Source organism: Homo sapiens, chromosome 2 (genome assembly GCF_000001405.40).
Source record: "Homo sapiens chromosome 2, GRCh38.p14 Primary Assembly".
Taxonomy (NCBI): Eukaryota; Metazoa; Chordata; class Mammalia; order Primates; family Hominidae; genus Homo; species Homo sapiens.
Genome location: NC_000002.12, coordinates 190,983,406 through 191,004,107, shown reverse-complemented (window position 1 = coordinate 191,004,107; position 20,702 = coordinate 190,983,406). Strand labels below are relative to the sequence as shown.

At 42.9% G+C, this 20,702-nt stretch overlaps 1 protein-coding gene and 1 pseudogene across 15 annotated transcripts in view, besides 1 other annotated feature; both read left to right on the top strand.

Moving 5' to 3' along the window:
• The window catches only part of STAT1 (signal transducer and activator of transcription 1), a 45,023-nt gene that overhangs the window by 10,064 nt on the left and 14,257 nt on the right, over positions 1-20,702 (top strand). For 8 of the 15 annotated variants that reach the window (NM_001437284.1, NM_001384889.1, NM_007315.4 and 5 more), the window contains 12 exons: positions 2,945-3,034; positions 4,404-4,482; positions 5,800-5,891; positions 6,101-6,252; positions 8,889-9,047; positions 12,788-12,880; positions 14,434-14,493; positions 17,040-17,069; positions 17,161-17,254; positions 18,448-18,489; positions 19,715-19,798; positions 20,368-20,466. In NM_001437284.1, coding sequence (NP_001424213.1) covers positions 2,945-3,034; positions 4,404-4,482; positions 5,800-5,891; positions 6,101-6,252; positions 8,889-9,047; positions 12,788-12,880; positions 14,434-14,493; positions 17,040-17,069; positions 17,161-17,254; positions 18,448-18,489; positions 19,715-19,798; positions 20,368-20,466 — 1,074 coding nt within the window. The remainder of the gene's footprint in view (positions 1-2,944; positions 3,035-4,403; positions 4,483-5,799; positions 5,892-6,100; positions 6,253-8,888; positions 9,048-12,787; positions 12,881-14,433; positions 14,494-17,039; positions 17,070-17,160; positions 17,255-18,447; positions 18,490-19,714; positions 19,799-20,367; positions 20,467-20,702) is intronic. The other 7 variants (NM_001384882.1, NM_001384890.1, NM_001384883.1 and 4 more) reach the window with 7 other exon arrangements.
• Positions 7,428-7,547: a silencer, noted in NCBI's record as "silent region_12190". NCBI's record gives its function as "represses an Ori minimal core promoter by ATAC-STARR-seq in GM12878 lymphoblastoid cells {active_cell/tissue: GM12878}" and the evidence as "EXISTENCE:reporter gene assay evidence [ECO:0000049][PMID:35858748]".
• Positions 10,350-11,666, top strand: RAB1AP1 (RAB1A pseudogene 1; annotated as a pseudogene).

Here is a 20,702-nt window from a genome sequence, read left to right as displayed (position 1 = left end):
AAGGGTTTGAGTGACTTGGAGGGACTACTGCCCAAGTTGGAAGCAGGAGATTTCTTAGGCCCTGCCACAGTCACCAGGTTTTTCCACCAAGCATCTCCCAGCAAGTCAGTAGAAAGGGGATGTAGAAGCTGGGGATGTAGCTGCTGTTTTACAGCCATTGTTTATATCCCTGTTCTCTAAACCGAGCCTTGGTCATTTGGGAGGAGGCCTGGGAAGTCAGAATTCTCCAGTGGCCTGGTCCCTCTCTCTAGGTGTAGTGTCCCAGCTGTTACAAAGCCCACAGGACACCGTGCCCACATCCTGCTGGCTTAGAAGTTGTATTAGTCTGTTCTTGCATGGCTATAAAGAAATACCTGAGACTGGGTAATTTATAAGAAAAGAGGTTTAATTGACTTATGGTTCTGCAGGCTGTTACAGGAAGCATGGTGCTGGCATCTGCTCAGTTTCTGGGGAGGCCTCAGGAAACTTACAGTCATAGCAGCAGGTGAAGGGGAAGCACACATATCACATGGCCAGAGCAGGAGGAAGCAGGGGAGAGGTGCTCCACACTTAACCAGATCTTGTGAGAACTCGTGATCACAAGGATAGTACCAAGAGGATGGTGCTAAACTATTCATGAGAAACTGTCCCCGTGATCCAGTCACCTTCCACCAGGCCCCACCTCCAACAATGGGGATTACAATTCATGAGATTTGGGTGGGGACACAGATCCAAACCATGTCAGAATTAGACAACAGCAAAGATTTCCCTGCACAGGCAGAAAGCTGTATGGAACTCCTCAAAGTGACAACTTATTCCAACCGCCCAGAGAAACCCCTTTTGTCACTGAGTGATATGTGGCACCTTGGACTTACAGAGGATACCAGTAACATTCATGTATTTCTAATACACACTTTACAGCTGATACAATTCACATGCTTTGAACTTCTGCTGTTGGAGAATATGTAACATGAAGGAAAACTTCCTATGAAGAGAGAATAACTTTGATGACGTATGCCTGATAAAGATAAAACAAAAAATTATGGACCAATTTTACTTATGAGTATCAATATAAAAGTCCTCAATAAGATATTAGGGATCAGAATTAAATACTACATTAAGAAAGGACATGACCAAATATGATTTATTATAGGTTACAAGGGTAGTCCATGACTGGGCAACCTATTAATGCAATTCACTAAATTAATAGCTACAAGGAGAAAAAAGCATTTACTTCCTTCCACAGAAGCTGAAAAGATCTAACAGAATTCAATACTCATTCCTCATAAAAACATTGAATAAGATAGGAATTGATGGGTACCTCTTTAACACAAAAAAATATATATATCTCCATTCTAGAGACAGTATCTTACCTAACTGGGAAAACTCCAGTAAGTCAGAAACACAGCAAGGATGCTGTGTTTCCACTGCTATTTAGCATCGTATTGGTGGTATTGGCCAATGCAATTAGACAAGAGAAAACCATTAGAAGCATAAGAATTAAAAACAACATCATAAAGATGTTAGCTCTCCCTGAGTTAACTTGTAATTTTAATGTTATTCCAATAAAAATACCAACAAGTTGTTTTCTGGAGCTACACAAATTTGTTCTGAAATTTATGAAAAATAAACATGCAAGAGTAGCGAGGCAACTTCTGAACAAGTAGAGCAATGAAATGGGACTGGCCCTACTAGACAGACTATAAATCCTCTATAGTCAAACATCCTTCAAGGGTTCAGGCTTATGAATAAAAAGGCCAATGGGAAAGAAGAGAAAAATCTAGAAGGAAACCCGTGTGCATATGGAAATTCATGTGATAAAGTTGGCAGCTCAGAGCACTGGGGAAAATAATGGACTTTTCAGTAAATGCTGTTAAGACAAATGGAAAGCTAACTGGAAAAAAAGTGAAAGCAAAAAGTGGACCCATACTTCACTCTGATCATGAGAATAAACAAATATATCAGCGATCTAAAAGTTAAAAAGAAAAAAAGGAAACCTTGCAAGTGCTAGGGAAATGAGTGAATGATGTAATGTCAATAGGGAAAGGCTTTCTAATATAAGGAAAATTCCAGACATGAAGAAAAGATGATACAATTGCACATATAAAAACACCCCCGTAGAATCTGTGCTGTATAGGGCACTGTGTAAGAAAGGTTGACAAGCACAGTTTTTGCTGTGTGGGGGATTTAACTCTAAAAAAATAACATCTTTCTAGAATTTAATCTCTATGAGAACAGGGATCACTGGTTACCACTCTAACACCCGAGCCTAGAGCATTGCCTGACATTTACTTAGTACCTAGTATGTGCAGGGTACATCTGGTGTATGAAGCAAGTAGAGACCCTGTCACTTCTGAGTGTTCTGATTATCAAAAATAGGACTGAATACTCCCAGGCAAGTCTGGGTTTATATTCATTATTGACTTTATAGTAGCAGATTTTCATTGATGGCCTTAATGGAGTGATTTCATATTTCAGTATACCTCTGGATCACCCGGAATTGTGTTAAAATAGGGTTTTCTGATTGCCTAATCATATTAGCCCTTGAGATTTTCCAACAAGATCCTAGGTGGTGAGATGCTGCTGGTCTGAGGACCACACTTTGAATCAGAAAGCTTTAAGATAAATAAGGACTGAGTTAATGAGAGTAATCTTGTGTATAGTATCTGAGAAACCGTGAACTAAATTCCAGCGTGGTACCATGCAACTGTATGAATTAATGGAAACTCCCAGAAATACTGTTTATTTTAGACATGAATTGAGCCTAGTTTTTTTGTAACCTTGTTAACAGTTTGCCAGCATTTTCCAGGGCCTTGGGAAAAATTTCATATTGACACATAAGCAGGAAGCCTGTAGTACATGTCAGAAGATCTGGAAGGCAAGTGGGGACTTGACTTTGGAGTGTAACCAGCAAGTACACACCCTGAAGAAAACGATGGCTATAATCATGCCCTTCCCATTACAGGCTCAGTCGGGGAATATTCAGAGCACAGTGATGTTAGACAAACAGAAAGAGCTTGACAGTAAAGTCAGAAATGTGAAGGACAAGGTTATGGTGAGTATTGAGTAAACACATGCATTTATTCTGAAACTTTCTGTAGGGGAAAAAAGGTTTCAATTGCTTGGGGTGTAAACCTCGTAACTGAGTTCAGTCTTTTAAGTAGTTGGGAAGAAAAATTTTGCAGAAGTCTCAAGCTATAAGTAAACAAATTGGCAAAATCAATGACCAGATAGACTTTTTGAATGGCCTCTTATAACTGCCAAACATTGAGTTTAGCTTTTTCTTCCCTGAAAGATCATGCAGTAAATGTTGACTTTGCCCAGTACCCAGTAAATGAGATGTTGCTGCTCTAAATGGGCCTTTATGTCCACACCTCTCAAATCACAGTGCCCCAGGATAAACATGGCCCATCCTTCCCAGTCATCTGTTTTATCCTAAGACTTGGAAGAGGAACAAAAATACATTTTATTGAAAGAAATTTGGATACATTTCTGATTAAGACATCCACAGCAATTTTAGGATACAACTTCCAAGTCAATTTATGGAAGCAGAGGGCTGCTCTGGCGTCCTCGATGGTGCGCATTTACTCCTCTCCACTGTTAGGGCTGGTGTGGGGAGGGTTTGAGGAGTTCTTTTTCACAGAGGCCTGTGTTTGTGGAAAAGGCCTTCCAGCTTAGGGGTTTGGTCCTCTGTGGATCTCTGGGTAATAGCAGTATGGCCTTGACTTACATGCTTCAGACAGCATCTTTCCAAACTCCACATTCTTTGGAGCAACTTCATCTTGCGGTCTCCTAGGGAAACATTTCATTAAAGTAGAAACCGAGTGAGCCCAGTCCAGAAATAGCCATGGAAATCCAGAGAAGAATATGTGGAAATGTGACCAAATCCCAAACAAATGAGGCTTATTTGTAGAATGAACATACAATTTATTGTCCAGATGGAGATGCATTTGAGCCGCCAAGAGGGCACTGTTTATAATTACAGCAAGTATGAAACCAGGTCTATCCCGGTAAAGCAGGGATGTATGGTCACTTTTCTTACTTGGAAGGAATGAGGAAATTTTCTGTGAGCTTTTTCCCCGCCTGCTGTGGGCTTCACAGTGGAGTTCTTAAATCATATCTCAGAGGTAGTCTCAAAAATGATGAGGAAGAATCAAAATTTAGGCGCTGGAACCAGGTTAAGGACATACAAATCAGTTTGAGAATTATTGTACGTTTGCTTTTTTAAAAATGTTATGACATACTTATTAATGAAACCGAAATTATTTCATGTATATGATTAGAACTGTCCAAGTCAGATCTCTTTTTGGGGGAGATGGAATTGTTTTCGTGTTTCTCTGGGTTCCATAGAAGCAATACTCTGTTGCCTAAAGTCTTTGGAAGTTGCTGATCAGTAGAAAACATGTTTACATCTTTGTTTGTAGTGTATAGAGCATGAAATCAAGAGCCTGGAAGATTTACAAGATGAATATGACTTCAAATGCAAAACCTTGCAGAACAGAGGTAAGGGTTCACAACTGAAGTGGTGCCCGTTGGCTGCAATTTTTTCTGTTCACACTAGATAACGAAGATGATTACTCCTTTCTATTTGCCGAGTATTTTATGACTCTGAATTCTTCCTTGATAACCCAGGCCAGGGCTTCTCAACATCCAATATTATTGACATTTCGGGCTAATTTGTTGTTGGGGCTGTCCTGGCATTGTAGCGTGTTTAACAGCATCCCCGACTTTTACCCACCAGATGCCAGTAGCACTACCCAGGAGCCCTCACTAGTGACAACCAAAACTGTCTCCAGAGATTGCCAAAAGTCCCCTAGGGGTCAGTGACCCCTACTTGATAACCACTGGTTATGTGTTACTCACCATATTTATTGCGCCTAGCCCACTGACTGACACAGAGCGATAGATATGTGGAGTTCCCCTGCCCTAATATCTCAGGTTTCTTCAAACGTTGCAGGGCCACGTGTATACACAGCAGATAAGCTCAGTATTTTTCTCATGTTTTAAAGCAGTTTTACTGTATTTTCTTACTGTTGCGTGTTTTTAATGAGAGTAGCAACAGAAAAGATCTCAAGAATGTACATTGTGTAGGACACGTAGGGTACTGCTGTTACTCTATTCATCATCTGGGGTATACCATGGTTCATAGGCAGAGATTATCAGTATGATTTGGGTAGAAAGTATAAGAGACAGCAACTTCAACTACCACTTCCTACTCATCTACTTCTCTTTGAAAGCTACAGCTATGCTTTGTATACATTTTTTATCTGAATTCTGTTCAGATAAAACATTTTATTATTTACATTTATTTTTATAATAATAATAACATTATTATTAATGTTATTTACATTTATTTAGGTAATTACCTGACAGTGTCTTAAGTGGCAGATACTACTATGTCTGATTTACATGGGTCACTGAAAACAAGTTTTTTTTGTTTTTTTTTTGTTTTTTTTGTTTTTTTTTGGAGACGGAGTCTCGCTCTGTCGCCCAGGCTAGAGTGCAGTGGCGAGATCTCGGCTCACTCCAAGCTCCGCCTCCCGGGTTCATGCTGTTCTCCTGCCTCAGCCTCCCGAGTAGCTGGGACTACAGGCGTCTGCCACTGCGCCCGGCTAATTTTTGAAAACAAGTATTTTGTTTCAGTGTGTCTAGTTGTTATACTTAGGACTTTTTTTCATGTTCATTAAAGATCGAAGAAAGCCAAACTTTGACCTGTCACTAGGCAGCATTTGTGTCATATTTATCCTAAATTTATATGAATCTTGGCTTTTGTTGGTTTTGTCTTCTTTATATATTTACTGGCTGTCTCTCAATTTATAGAACACGAGACCAATGGTGTGGCAAAGAGTGATCAGAAACAAGAACAGCTGTTACTCAAGAAGATGTATTTAATGCTTGACAATAAGAGAAAGGTAGTTATTTACTTTCCAGAATAGCATGCCACTTTTGTTATACACTGTAAATAATGGACTCAAAGTTTAGAAGAGAGGAAAAATTATAGCCACCTGGCTTAGAGCCCCAGTTGAGAATGAAATGATATTTGCTTTTCTTTTAAAAAATATTTTAAAATTCAGTGATTAAAAATGAATTTATTTCACTTTGTTTCTTCTATTGCCTTTAGGAAGTAGTTCACAAAATAATAGAGTTGCTGAATGTCACTGAACTTACCCAGAATGCCCTGATTAATGATGAACTAGTGGAGTGGAAGCGGAGACAGCAGAGCGCCTGTATTGGGGGGCCGCCCAATGCTTGCTTGGATCAGCTGCAGAACTGGTAAGATTCTCCAAAGCAGAAAACTGGCAGCTGACTGGCTAACCACATAAACACATAAATGTACCTTTGAGCTGTGTTAGTTGAATGGACCCTGTCAAAACATTAGTATAGAGTTTGACATAGTCCAGCTTCTGCTTACCCTGGAAACACTCCCTTGGAAAGCACAGTGTTATTCATGACTCTCGCCACGTTCAGCCACGTCTGCTTGGTTTGGAGCACTCCTGTACCATGGGGTGTCGTTTGACTGTACAAAACATCAGTGACATGGTCGTTATAGAACACATTTAATGACTTGACTCTTAATGTTTCCTTAAAAACAAGATAGCTTGAGGCATTTTTCTAGGCTTACAGAATAGTTTTTTAGGAAACATTCAGTCATCCATCCAGTAATACTTATTAAATGCCTACTGTGTGCCGGGCACTGTAGGACCTGGGCACACAAGGATGAGTGATTCTTGGCCCTTGCCAACAAGGAGTTCTCAGTGTGGAGGGGGGGATGTAGACATGGTAATAATTCGTGTGGTAAAAGTATCCAGGTGCTCTAGCAAAAGGCCATCAGAATTCTGTGGAGGACAAAGGAAAGCATCTCCAGGGAAGGTTTCATAGAGGAAGTGGCCTTGTGCTGACTCAAAAGTCACTAGGATTACTCCACGTAGATCAAGGGGAAGTGCTTTCCAGCACAGAGCACAGCGTGTGCAAAGGCACACATGTGGGAGACTGCAGGGGCTGTATTGGGTGGCTGGAGAGTGGGGTGTCCAGGGAGATGGGAAGGAAAGTGGACCCGGTGGGAGATGCTGGAGCCTGATGGTGCAGGTTCTCAGCACCATGCTGGGAATGGGGGATGTACGCAGCTGTACTGCTGAGCCAAGGCAGGCTTTTTTCTTAAGCAGGAGATGTATTTCTCTGATCTTTGATTTAGAAAGGGCACTCTGGCCACAGCCTGGAGGATAGGATAGAGACAGAAAGACCAGTTGGAATACTATTAGCATATTAGTGTGGTCCAGGTGAGGGGCAACAGGAGCTGAACTTGGAATCACAGAGTGAACATGAGGGAAGGTGGCCTGGGACAATTGCTAAGGGTCCAAGGACCAGAGATCTCACGAGGTTATTTTCTATATTGCCAGTTTTTAAAAAAATCACAATTAATATTCAGCCATTTATTTTTGTTCTGTGAATTGCCTGTAGGTACCCCAGATTTCTTGTGGGTTAGAGCAGAGCTTCTGAGCCCAGTGCACCCCATGTGCCTTGAGGGATACATACAACCCTAAAGCCCTTCAGGTGGCCAGGGAGGCCCTGGGGTGTTTAGAGCCCCCTAGTGGTCCTCCTAGACCACAGGAGCCTCTTGTAGGGACACACATGCCCTCTAGTTTTCCCACTGTGCTGTCATTTTCTCTGTGTGCAAGCAGAGTTGGGGACACTGGTTTAGCTTCTCCGCTGGAACTCAGCCAGCCGTTATCCTGCCTTCTCCTTTCCTGACGAAGGGCTGCTGTCCCAGGGCTTTGAACTGGAATCGAGCAAAATCAGAAAGTGAAGTAGATACTTTTCCCAGGGAAGAAGACACTTTTAAAAGGTTTTCTTCTGTCATTACTGCAAGTGAATAAAACAGCGTTTCCCCAGCCTGTGTTGCTGTTAGCAGTTGACTGCAAGGAAGGAAGACTAAGAGCAATCACTGGGTTTACTCATTGGCTTTTTATGTTTAGGGTCTAGACTGAGCATACTGCCTTCTCCTTTCAGTTGAGTGAAACCAGAATCATCATTCCTTCCTCTCTTCCTGTCCCCGGCCTTGTCTCCCATCTCTGTCTCTCCTCCTGCCCCTCTGCCCCACATCTCTGACTGGTCCTGCCGAGACACTGCTTGCTGATGCCACTCTCTTGACAGAACCTGCAGTGGCTCTTTGCTGCCTCTTGCATCACCTGGAAGCACCTGCTTTGCTGTTTTCCCTGCCTCTGGCCTCCTCTTTGCCCTGCACCAGTCACAGATCACCTAGAAGCCCTGCCTCCACCCATCTCTCCTCACATAGGCCTCAGTGGTGTGTAGAAGTTTTTGATGTAGGCTGTAATCATTCAGTGCATGTTAGTTGTACTCCTCAAATAACAAAGCTTCTACTGCTGGCACAAGCCTCGTTCCCTTTGTTTTTCCCTAGAGGGCAGAGCATGGCATCCTAGGTGACATTTTGTGTTGCATATAACCACTTGTTGGTTTCCATGCCATATGGTTTGGCCGTGTCCCCACCCAAATCTCACCTTGAATTGTAATAATCCCCATGTGTCAAGGGCAGGGCCAGGTGGAGATAATTGAATCATGGGGGTGGTTCCCCCAATACTGTTCTCATGGTAGTGAGTAAGTCTCACGAGATCTGATGGTTTTATAAGTGGGAATTTCCCTCCACAAACTCTCTTGCCTGCCACCATGTAAGATGTGACTTTGCTCCTCATTTGCCTTCTGCCATGATTGTGGGGCCTCCTCAGCCATGTGGAACTATGTGTCAATTAAACCTCTTTCCTTTATAAATTCTCCAGTCTCGAGTATGTCTTTATTAGCAGCATGAGAATGGACTAATATACCATGATTCCCTTTAATCCAGGCTGCTTCTGGACTGTTTCTCATAGAGACATCTGTGTCTTGTGTCTTCCCAGGTTCACTATAGTTGCGGAGAGTCTGCAGCAAGTTCGGCAGCAGCTTAAAAAGTTGGAGGAATTGGAACAGAAATACACCTACGAACATGACCCTATCACAAAAAACAAACAAGTGTTATGGGACCGCACCTTCAGTCTTTTCCAGCAGCTCATTCAGAGGTAACTCAAGGGACATTTATTTGTACCTTCTGTAATCGGTCTATACAGAGGAACATTTTACCGTTAATTCAGATGATTTACAAGGGTTTAATAGGTGTTTTTTATATATATATATATATATATATATATATATTTTTTTTTTTTTTGAGATAGAGTCTCACCTATCACCCAGGCTAGAGTGCAGTGGCGTGATCTTGGCTCACTGCAACCTCCACCTCCCAAGTTCAAGCAATCCTCCTGCCTCAGCCTCCCAAGTAGCTGGGACTACAGGCGCATGCCACCCCACCTGGCTAATTTTTTTTAGTAGAGACTGGGTTTCGCCATGTTGGCCAGGCTGGTCTCCAACTCCTGAACTCAGGTGATCTGCCCTCCTCGGCCTCCCAAAGTGCTGGGATTACAGGCGTGAGCCACTGTGCCTGGCCTCAAATTTTTTAATGACAATGACTCTTCCTGAATTATTTGGTTATACCAGTGGTTCTTCACTCTTGTGGCCAGCTAGGCTGGAAGCTATAGTAACCTTCCACTCCTCCTTCCCCTTTGGCTGAGTCTCCGCCGTGACCCTAACATGCCTCACCTCCTCCTCTCCCCTCCTCATGTCTCAGGCTCTCAAATCCTCCTTTCTGGACTCTTCCCCAGCCTCCCCACCAGTCCTCCTTCCCAGTCCTTCCTCCCTGTGACCAGTGCTGTCCCAGAGCAGAGTTCCATTCTGGTTCCTCATCACCTGCTGATCCAAGTGAATGCCCAGCTGGGCATTCACGGCCCCCCTTCTGCAGCCTGGACCTAGCTGAACACTCCACGCTTCACGTCCACACACGCCCCTTTCTAGGCAAACTTGACCTCTTGCTGATTCCTATAGGGGCCATGCCGCATACTTGCTTTTCTGTGGCTCTCCTGAGGATACTTCCTCTTCCTCAGAGCCTTCTTTTCATGTACCTGCTTTCAAAATTGTATCATCCCGAAAGCTTCACCTTGTATCTCATCATTTAATCTTCCCAGATTTCCCAAACAGATGTTATCTCCCTTCGTGGCCTACAGTCACCCTTCGTTCCTTTCCTACTCTGCCTTTTGTTATATAGTTGTTATGTATTTCTTTATATTTCTTGAATATCATAAAGTTCTGGAAGGCAGAGACATGCCTTTGTCACCCTTTTCCCCCAGCAGGACCTAGCGCAGTGCCTTGTGAACAGTAGGCTCTCTAGACACACTTAGTAGATAGATAAATGTCACTGAGTGGAAAAGAAGGGTTCATATTGCAAGTTTTTTTTTTTTTAATGCAAACTTGACATGATAAAAATGTACTTGATTTTGGGTGGAAGCAATAGCTGAGTGGCAGCGGCTGCTGATTGCGTTCCAGGGGGCAGAGTCGGGGAAGACATTTACTCTCCCAGAACAGCCTATCTCATTCCTTTCCTTCAGTTACCCGTGGTGCAGAGAGTCAGGGCAGCAGCTGTAGCAGCAAGGGTGGCCGTGGCAGCGGTGGCAGCTACAGTGACATGTCCAGCATGAATCCCAAATTGATTATTTATTCAAATTACTTCTGATTGGCGACTCTGGGGTTGGAAAGTCTTGCCTCCTTCTTAGGTTTGCAGATGATAACATATACAGAAAGCTACATCAGCACAATTGGTATGGATTTCAAAATAAGAACTATAGAGTTAGACGGGAAAACAATCAAGCTTCAAATATGGAACACAGCAGAACAGGAAAGGTTTCGAACAGTCATCTCCAGTTATTACAGAGGAGCCAATGGCATCCTAGTGGTGTATGATGTGACAGATCAGGAGTCCTTCAATAATATTAAACAGTGACTGCAGAAAATAGATCATTATCCCAGTGAAAACGTCAACAAATTGTTGGTAGGGAACAAGTGTGATCTGACCACAGAGAAAGTAGTAGACTACACAACAGCCAAGGAATTTGCTGATTCCCTTGGAATTCTGTTTTTGGAAACTAGTGCTAGGAATGCAACAAGGCCCGGCACGGTGGCTCATGCCTGTAATCCCAGCACTTTGGGAGGCCGAGGTGGGTGGATCACCTGAGGTCAGGAGTTCGAGAGCAGCCTGGCCAACATGATGAAACCCCATCCCTACTAAAAATACAAAAATTAGCCAGGCATGGTGGCGGGCGCCTGTAATCCCAGCTACTTGGGAGGCTGAGGCAGGAGAATTGCTCGAACCCAGGTGGCGGAGGTTGCAGTGAGCCGAGATTGCGCCATTGCTCTCCAGCCTAGGAGACGGAGCAAGACTCTGTCTCAAAAAAAAAAAAAAGAAAGAATGCAATGAATGTAGAACTGTGTTCCATGATGATGGCAGCTGAGATTAAGAAGCTAATGGGTCCTGGAGCAACAGCTGGTGGTGCTGAGAAGTCCAGTGTTAAAATTCAGAGCACTCTGGTCAAGCAGTCAGGTGGAGGTTCCTGCTAAAATTTGCCTCCATCCTTTTCTCACAGTAATAAATTTGCAATCTGAACCCAAGTGAAGAAACAAAATTGCCTGAATTGTACTGTATGTAGCTGCACTACAACAGATTCTTACCATATCCACAGAGGTCAGAGATTGTAAATGGTCAATACTGACTTTTTTTTTTTATTCTCTTGACTCAAGACAGCTAACTTCATTTTCAGAACTGTCTTAAACCTTTGTGTGCTGGTTTATAAAATAATGTATTTTCCTGATATCAGACTGTTTTCTCGTGGTTGGTTAGAATATATTTTGTTTTGATGTTTATATTGGTGTGTTTAGATGTCAGGTATAGTCTTCTGAAGATGAAGTTCAGCCATTTTATATCAAACAGCACAAGCAGTGTCTGTCACTTTCCATGCGTAAAGTTTAGTGAGATGTTATATGTAAGATCTGATTTGCTAGTTCTTCCTTGTAGAGTTATAAATGGAAAGATTACACTGTCTGATTAATAGCTTCTTCATACTCTGCATATAATTTGTGGCTGCAGAATATTGTAATTTGTTGCATACTATGTAACAAAACAACTGAAGATATGTTTAATAAATATCGTACTTATTGGAAGTAATATTTAAAAAAATGTACTTGGTTCCCTATGGCTAATGTTCAAACAAGAAGTCCTGTATGTTGGGTTTTTTAAAATTTAAAAACATTACTTGTACTTTGAGTGCACATTTTATTCTTAATTCTGACATGTAAATGAACATAATTAAATACGGGGTTTTTATTTTTTATTTTGGATTTTTGAGACAGGGCCTCACTCTGTCATCCAGACTGGAGTGCAGTGGTGTGATCATGGCTCACTTCAGCCTCAACCTCCTGGGCTCAAGTGATCTTCCCACTTCAACCCTCCAGTAGTTGGGACTAATTAGCCACGCCTGGCTAATTAAAAAAAAAAAAACAAATTGTAAAGATACGGTCTCACTATGTTGCCTGAGCTGGTCTTGAACTCCTGGGCTCAAGCAATCTTCACACCTCAGCCTCTTAAAGTGCTGGGATTACAGACATGGGCCACTGTGCCTAGCCTTCATTGTATGTTTGTTTCAATGTAATAGTTTCACAGATCATTACAGTTATTCTGTTTCTGTTAAGTCCCTATTAGGTTTTGGGATTTCTTTACTAATTAGAAAATATCACTTTGTTCATCCAACTTGTCAGAATCTTTCAAATGATTTTTTAGATCGTACTCTCTAACCCCCTTTTTTCTTTCAGGAAAATCATTGTGATTGCCTCAACCTTAATGGAAATGCTAACTTATCTATCCTTTGCTGGGTATTTGCAGCTCGTTTGTGGTGGAAAGACAGCCCTGCATGCCAACGCACCCTCAGAGGCCGCTGGTCTTGAAGACAGGGGTCCAGTTCACTGTGAAGTTGAGGTAACAAGGGAAAGATGGCATCCCATACATCACCTGTCACGTAGTTTGTACCCCTAGTTTCCTTTTATAAAAACTGTTATATAGGGTGCTTTTGAGGAAATAATTTTTCAGGGGGCACTTTAATATGAACTCTTACTGAGAATATCTGAGAGTCTTTTATTAATATATTCATAGTAGAAATGTAACTGATATACATATATGTACACACTCCTGGTTTTTTTCCAATCATAAATGTAATGCGTGTTCACAGGAAAACAGAATTCCAAATTGCAGAAATGTGTGTAATAGAGAGTAAAAGTTCCTGGCTGCCTCACCCCTCTTGGGCATAGGCTCATAACCTGAGCCTTATGAACCCCAGAAGCTGTATGAATGTGGATTTATAACATGTACATTTTTCTGATGGATGGATTTATAGCTTTCATCAGTTTCTCAAAGCAGTCCGTGATATAAATATCTGTGGACCACCACAGTAAATGGCCTAGTGTCTGTCCTCCCAGGATTTTGTCCATGTCTACACAAATATATATTTCATACGGAAACACACACGCACAAACATGACATAATGTTTCCTTTTTAAAAAATTAGGATTCCATGTCTACACAAATATTTCATATAGAGACACACACACACACAAATATGACATATTTCTTTTTTAAAAACTCGGAGTAGGCTACATACATTGTTTTGTAGTCTTTCTCCTCGATACTAATTGTAGAAGTGTTTCCAGGAATATGTGGCTTTACTTTCTTCCATTGAATGGCTGCATTGCTTTAAGCATTCTTCTTATGATGAGTAGCTAGACGCTGAAGAACTGGACTGGCCTTCATAGTTGGCCCGGGTCCTTTTTCTGGGGTGTTGCTGATTTAAGTCTGTGGTTAACCCTCCCTGGCTGGTAGGTACAATGTCACACTGAAGCCCTCGTGGAATTTTAGAACTCAGCAGCTGGAAGGGACAGTAGAAATCTGATCCCATCCACCTGCTCCACTGAACGGAGCAGACAGAGCCCCGGGGTCTCCTTCTCAAAGTCTCCAGCTCAGTGGAGCAGAGGTACACCCTCTCACCTGCCCTCCATCTTTCCATGCTACCCTGGGGTGACTATAGATGGGACGCTATTTTTTCTGCTTATGGGCAATAGTTTTTATTGTCTCCCAACAGGACAAAGATTAGATACAAGTTTTAATAGAAAGTAATGTTTGCTATTTTACCCATATAAATTGGCCAAAGGTCGAAATTGTGATGAAACTGAATATTGGCAAGGTTATAGAGGTAAACAGCTACCCTCATTAACTTTTGGTGGCAATGTAAAATCAGGGCGGCATCCTGTCAGAATTAGTGTTACAATTTTTCCTAAGCGGTTCCACAGCTAGGAATTTATTCTTACAAATACACTTACAAAAATTTAAGTAGATCTACAAAACTGTCAGTTTTTTTGTTGGTAATACCCTAAAACTGGAGGGGGAGTAGTTTATCTAAACGTTAATAGGGAATTGGCATAATAAATAAATTGTAACAGATAATTTTTTTTAAGTAATGGCTTTTATTTTTCTTTCCAGACTGTTGGTGAAATTGCAAGAGCTGAATTATAATTTGAAAGTCAAAGTCTTATTTGATAAGTAAGATATCTTTAACATTATATAACATACATGTACTATTGAAATGTTGATTTTGTTACTCAAGCACAGATTCCTCCACTAAATAAGCAGATTTCTAGCTGTGGAAGGGTCTATACTGGGTGGAAGTTTGCCTCCCTAGGGCCCCAGGGCTGAACCCAGAGTCCTGACAATGCTGCGCATGAGCAGAGACTTCTAGTCAGATCCACCAGGGCCATCACAAATGACCCCAGCAGATTTAAATCAGCAGCTCCCTTGGTGGATGTTGGGAGCTTCCCCTGGAGCTGGTATCAACATTCCTGTGCCTTTTTAGACTATAAATGAACAAAAGAGTGAGTGTCTCTTTGTGCATATGAGATTGTAATCAGCAAGTCTCAAAGTGGCTGGACTTGGCATGCCACCCCCTCCTTCTAGGTCAGCCCCAAAGGAGAGGCCCCTGATCCAACCCGAGGCTGAACGTCCAGGCTGCCATGATTCTGTGGTCATTTGGGGGTTTTTTTCTGGAGCGAGGTCAGCAGCATCTTGGGGAGACTGTGTGGAGCCTGTGGGATTCACTCTTGTCTCTTCTGGGCAGTGGGAACCCAGGAATGGGCATCTCTCTTGGGGGTCCAGGTGGAGCAGCCTCATCCTATTTTGCCCTGAGACCCTAGACCTGGACTGGCACTAACTTGGCCACTCTCATTAAGGAACAAGATGGCTCCCCCCCCACCCCTCCCATATTTAATGTTTTTGTTAGCTTGTGTCACATACTGTTTTGGCAAGTTTCAAAAATGATTTATGATCATTCAGATCATTTTCCTCTGGCTTTTTGCTTTTTCCCACTCCTATAAGAATATTCTTCCTCATAGCATGGTCTGTGCCTTGTCTTCCCTGCCATCATCTTTGGTATATCGGTTAGCTTTTGCTTCCTAACAAACCACTCCCAAAACTTAGTGGCTAGGCCAGGTGCAGTGGCTCACACCTGTAATCCCAGCACTTTGGGAGGCCAAGGCAGGCAGATCACATGAAGCCAGAGTTTGAGACCGGCCTGGCCAACATGGCGAAACCCCGTCTCTACGAAAAATACAAAAAATTAGCCAGGTGTGGTGGTGTGCACCGGTAATCACAGCTACTTGGGAGGCCGAGGCACGAGAATCGCTTGAACCTGGGAGGCAGAGGTTGCAGTGAGCTGAGATCATGCCACTGCACTCCAGCCTGGGTGACAGAGTGAGACTCTGTCTAAAAACAAACAAACAAAAACTTAGTGGCTAAAAACTCAAAAACTCATTATTTCTCATATTCTGTGAGTTGTAGGTTGTCCTGGTCTGAGCTAGTGTGGTTGGAGCCAGGTGCTCTAGCAAGGCCTTATTACATGACTGGGACTCAGCTGGGATAACCAGGTCCTTCTTCATGCACCTCAAAAAGGCTAGCCTGGGCTTTTCCCATGGTGACAGTGTTCCAAGTGAACAAGGCCTGTGAGTGCTAGCCTTGGAACATCTATAGCATCACTCCCTTCCATCCTGTTGCTAAAAGCAAATCAAGGCCAGCTGAGATTCGGGGGATGGGGAAGTATATCCTACTTCCTAAACGGAGGAAGCACAAGAGTTGTGTTGCCATTGCAGTTTACCATCTTCTGCGTCAGCTCAGCTCCTCTCAGCTGCTTCGGGCCCTTGTGTCTTTTCTGTCGGTTCCAGCTCTGACGGTCTTCTTAGCTTTGACAAGTCAGCTTTTATCATACTATCCCTTTTATTTTAAATTCTTTTTTTTTCCAAACGGGAAAATAGGTCCCTTCCATAGCTAATGGTGATTGTCATTCACAAAAGCATTGAACTTCTGGTTGAGATTGGAAAGGAAGGGGAACTAATAGATCTGTGAGTGAGCCCATGATTTCTAGTCTACATCTAGGACGCTCACGGATACATTATTTGGCCAGAACATGACAAAGTAATCACTGGATATAGAAGTGCAAGGTCTTTCAAAATTTTAACCTCAGACTTAAAACTTAAACTTGCCACTTTCCCCAGATAACTGACTTTCCTGGTACTTTCATGAGAGCATTAAAGATCATAGAGAATAAAAATGAGAATTAAATGGTCACATTGGCAGTCCTCTGAGCTTTGTGACTACTGGGCAGTGCTGTTGGCTGGATCCCCAGTGCTTAGTGCAGGGCCTTGCACCAAGTAGCTGCTCAATAAACAATAACGATAGCTTAAACATTTATTGAGGGTGTACTGGTGCTGGTGCTTACATTTATTGAGGGTGTACTGGTGAGGAATTAACTAGTTTATTCCTCATGATGTCCTATATGTTGGCACTGTTAGTATGTTGTGCAAATGAACAATGTAAGGCCCAGACCATTTATTTGCCAAAGGTCATTCAGTGATACTTGCCAGACCTAGTATGGGTAGATGGAAGCAGGGAGTGAATGAAAGGCTGCAAATCCATAGGTGTAGATTTATTTTTTATTCATCATTCACTTACACTCTTATGCTCTTATACTCTTATAATTTTGTTAAAGCTTATTTCAAATTTTAAATACGCATATGTGATTATATATATTTTTTTTGCAGAGATGTGAATGAGAGAAATACAGTAAAAGGGTACGTGACGTACTTTACGCTATACTGTGCTATATTTTTATTTATTTAATAGTTGGAAGACTTTTCAGCATTTCTTTCCTATATTGTATAGATTTAGGAAGTTCAACATTTTGGGCACGCACACAAAAGTGATGAACATGGAGGAGTCCACCAATGGCAGTCTGGCGGCTGAATTTCGGCACCTGGTAGGGACATCAGTTTCCTCTCTATGTTGTCTCTGGTTTCTTAGGACTTTTGACAATAGAGCAGCCCTTTTTGGCACATTGCCATGTGGAGGACGCCCCCCTGCTGGGGTTTGTAGACTTTGTGGCTGGTGTCTTCCTGTCGCCAGTACTTGGGGCATTTTGGTTTCTCCTCCTTATCCCACGACTGTTCACTCTGTTTTCTGGGCTGTATCACTTGCAGTAAAAATATTTCCTAAGCCTGTGTTTACGTAAATGATTTGCACTTGCTGCCTGCATGATCCCCACGGTCACTCACCTACGCTTGCAGTTTTCTCAAAGGTTATGGCTCCCGTGTCCTGACTGTGATCCAAGTGTGGTCCTGTACACCAGGGTTCACTCCTCAGCCCCCGTGTTCCCCTTCCTGGTGGCCCTGCCCACAGCCCCTGCCTCCACGCCAGCCTGACTCTACCACCTTTTCTCCAGGGCAGTAGGGCTCATTCCCCAGGCAGTGGAGACCCAGCAGGATGCTCTGTGTGGGTGCACCATCTTTCCTCCTCTGTGAACATGGGGGCTGCCAGTTGCTGTGAGGCTCTGTGGGTGCTGAGTCCGAAGCTTTCCCTGGGCCCAGAACCTGCAGGAGGTTAAAGGCATCCTTTTTCACTAGAGACCACTTTGTGATCCAGCAAGCCTCGTAGCTAGGAAGCTCTACCTAACTCGAAAGCTTAGCCCAACTCAGGTGCCTGAGGGTATTCAGAGCCGCCCTCAGGGCCCCAGCCTGCTCCCTCGTCAGCTCAGGGATTGACAGCTCAGAGATTGACGTCCACTTGAGGGCAGGTGGACCTGGAGTCACTGGGCCCAGCCTGGAGGACTCTGCTGAGGGAAAGGGGAGGGAGAAGCTGTCCCGAGCCTCAGGGCATGAAACAGTTAACGAAGGTGCATGGGGAAACATTCAGGGAAAGTTTGAACACAGGAGAGGAGCGGGTTGTGATTCCAAGAGATCCCTCCAGACTGGTGTCCGCACCATGAGGCCACTGAGGAAACGTGCTTCTGCTCATGGACCCTGAACGAGGGCCAATTTGTCCCATGTTCTGCATTCTAAAGATAAAGTCACGTCTGTCATTCTTTCTAGTCCTAACTTTGTTCTCATTTGTAAATGAAGATAGCAACTTTGACCATTACCATGGTGTTTACTAAGATGATTATTTGTTTTATAGCAATTGAAAGAACAGAAAAATGCTGGCACCAGAACGAATGAGGTGAGAGTCCCTTTATGTTGTGAATGGGCCCAAATCAGGCAGGTCTGTCTAGCAAGGACAGGTCAGTTGGTGGCTGGGGACACCTCACAGAGGAGTTCAGACCCATCAGGGAAGAGCAGCAAAGGAGCTGGGTATTTGGTATATCTGTGACAACAGTAAAAACACCACATTTGTGCTTTACTATTGTCAAACGATTTTGCACACAAATTCATTAGACACTCATGGACAACTCAGTGGAGTAGCTGTTGTGGGCTTTTGTATTCTTCGCATCTTACGGGTGAAGAAATTGACTCACAGAAGTTTGCAGGATTTAGCTAAGGGTGCACAGAGTTACTGTCAGAGTTGGAACGAGAGGCCACTTTGATGACTGCCTTGCTGTGTGCCAAGAGGGCTTTTCGGCCATTGCATCCCCTACCAAAAGCATTGCCTTTGCATCAGTTTCCTTCCTACAGCGTGATCCTTAAGGAGTTGGGTTTGTGATGCATTCAGAAATGAACTATGGACAAAGGATGAAATATCTGGAGTTGTTTTGGTTGAGAACACTTTCGTCATTTATGCACACACAGTGTGCAGTCCTTCCACACCAGGACCAGTGGAGGTCACATGGAGCAGCGGGACAAACACAGGCCCAGGCAGTGCAAAGATGCCTTCTAGCCCTGGTGTGCGCCTGAACTATGTTTTGACCTCCCTGGGTCTAGCTGTTGCACCTCTCTAGTTCTAAGTTGTGAGGCTCACATGAGGTAATGCTTATGAAGGCACTTTGAAATCTATCCATTTCTACCGAAACCAAGACAACTTGTGACCTGCCAAGTTGATGTGAGTCAGCCCTTCCGGTAGGCAGTAGACAATCACAAGTATGCACTTACTCCCAGTCCTCTCACCTTCTCCCCACCCATCTGCATTGAGATGTGCAGCCACACTGGGCAGGCAGACAGAGCTGAGGGTCGAGAAGCCTTAGGTCACAAAGCCATTAGTTGCTCTTTCCCCATTGACAATCATTGCTCTGAATCTATAACCCTTGCCGTAACTTCAGACACTTATCTTTCAGAGCACACTGAGATACTAAGAATCATTAAATCTGGGAGAGATTGAATATTGAGTCTTCAGACTTGCCACTGATTGGGCCCAGGATCTCTGTGGCCTGTTGCAATGTTAATTGGGCTTTTGAAAGTTTTAGGATCTGTGAATAATTATATTCTTTTCTTCTTTCCTTTTCTCTTCCAAGGGTCCTCTCATCGTTACTGAAGAGCTTCACTCCCTTAGTTTTGAAACCCAATTGTGCCAGCCTGGTTTGGTAATTGACCTCGAGGTAAGACTTTTATGGTCCCGAGTTGGAAAACTTCATTATTTTTACTTTTAATTGTTACATGTATTTTTATTTCTCAGTGTTTGTTCTGGAGGTATTTACCTAATTGTTTTAAAATGATCTTTTTCAGCTAATACTATCTTAACCTTAATTTATGGTCCAGAAAGCTAGACAATTGAATTAACCTTCAAATTCAATAACTTAAAAGTTCCAGTTGAGATCGCTGATGTTAATTTTTTTTTTTTACATTAAGCATTGGGACTTATTTATTTTGCTCTGCCCTCCCCCCACATTTTATGTTTTCATTGTGACAGTTTTCATCTTCTCATATTGCATATCCCTTAATTAATTATTGTAGCTATTATTATTTTTAGGGACTTATTTCTTAACTGAAAGATACATCAAAGACAAGTTAAACTGGACAGAAGAACAGAACTTAACACTTCTCATTTTCAAGTATTAAATATGTACAAATTTACAAATAATCCCCTGCTTTTAGTTGAGGCTAAGCAGTTATCTGAAGGTGACATTTCTGTGATTCAGATGATTTCAAGGTCTTTGTCATCCTTTAGACGACCTCTCTGCCCGTTGTGGTGATCTCCAACGTCAGCCAGCTCCCGAGCGGTTGGGCCTCCATCCTTTGGTACAACATGCTGGTGGCGGAACCCAGGGTATGGAAAACACATTTGCTTTGGTCCCAGGGTTAAGCAGAGACCCCACGCTCTCACTGCTGCATCTCTGAAATAGCCCCAATGGCCAGTTGTTAAGGGAGAAGTGACAAAGCTCCTGTGGTATTTCTAAGGCTTTTGAGTAAATCTGGGAATATGAAGCATGGATATGTATTTGAAATGAGAATTACGTTTTTTCTCCCATGTGGGTAAGCTAGGGCAGTCAGTGATTCCATACC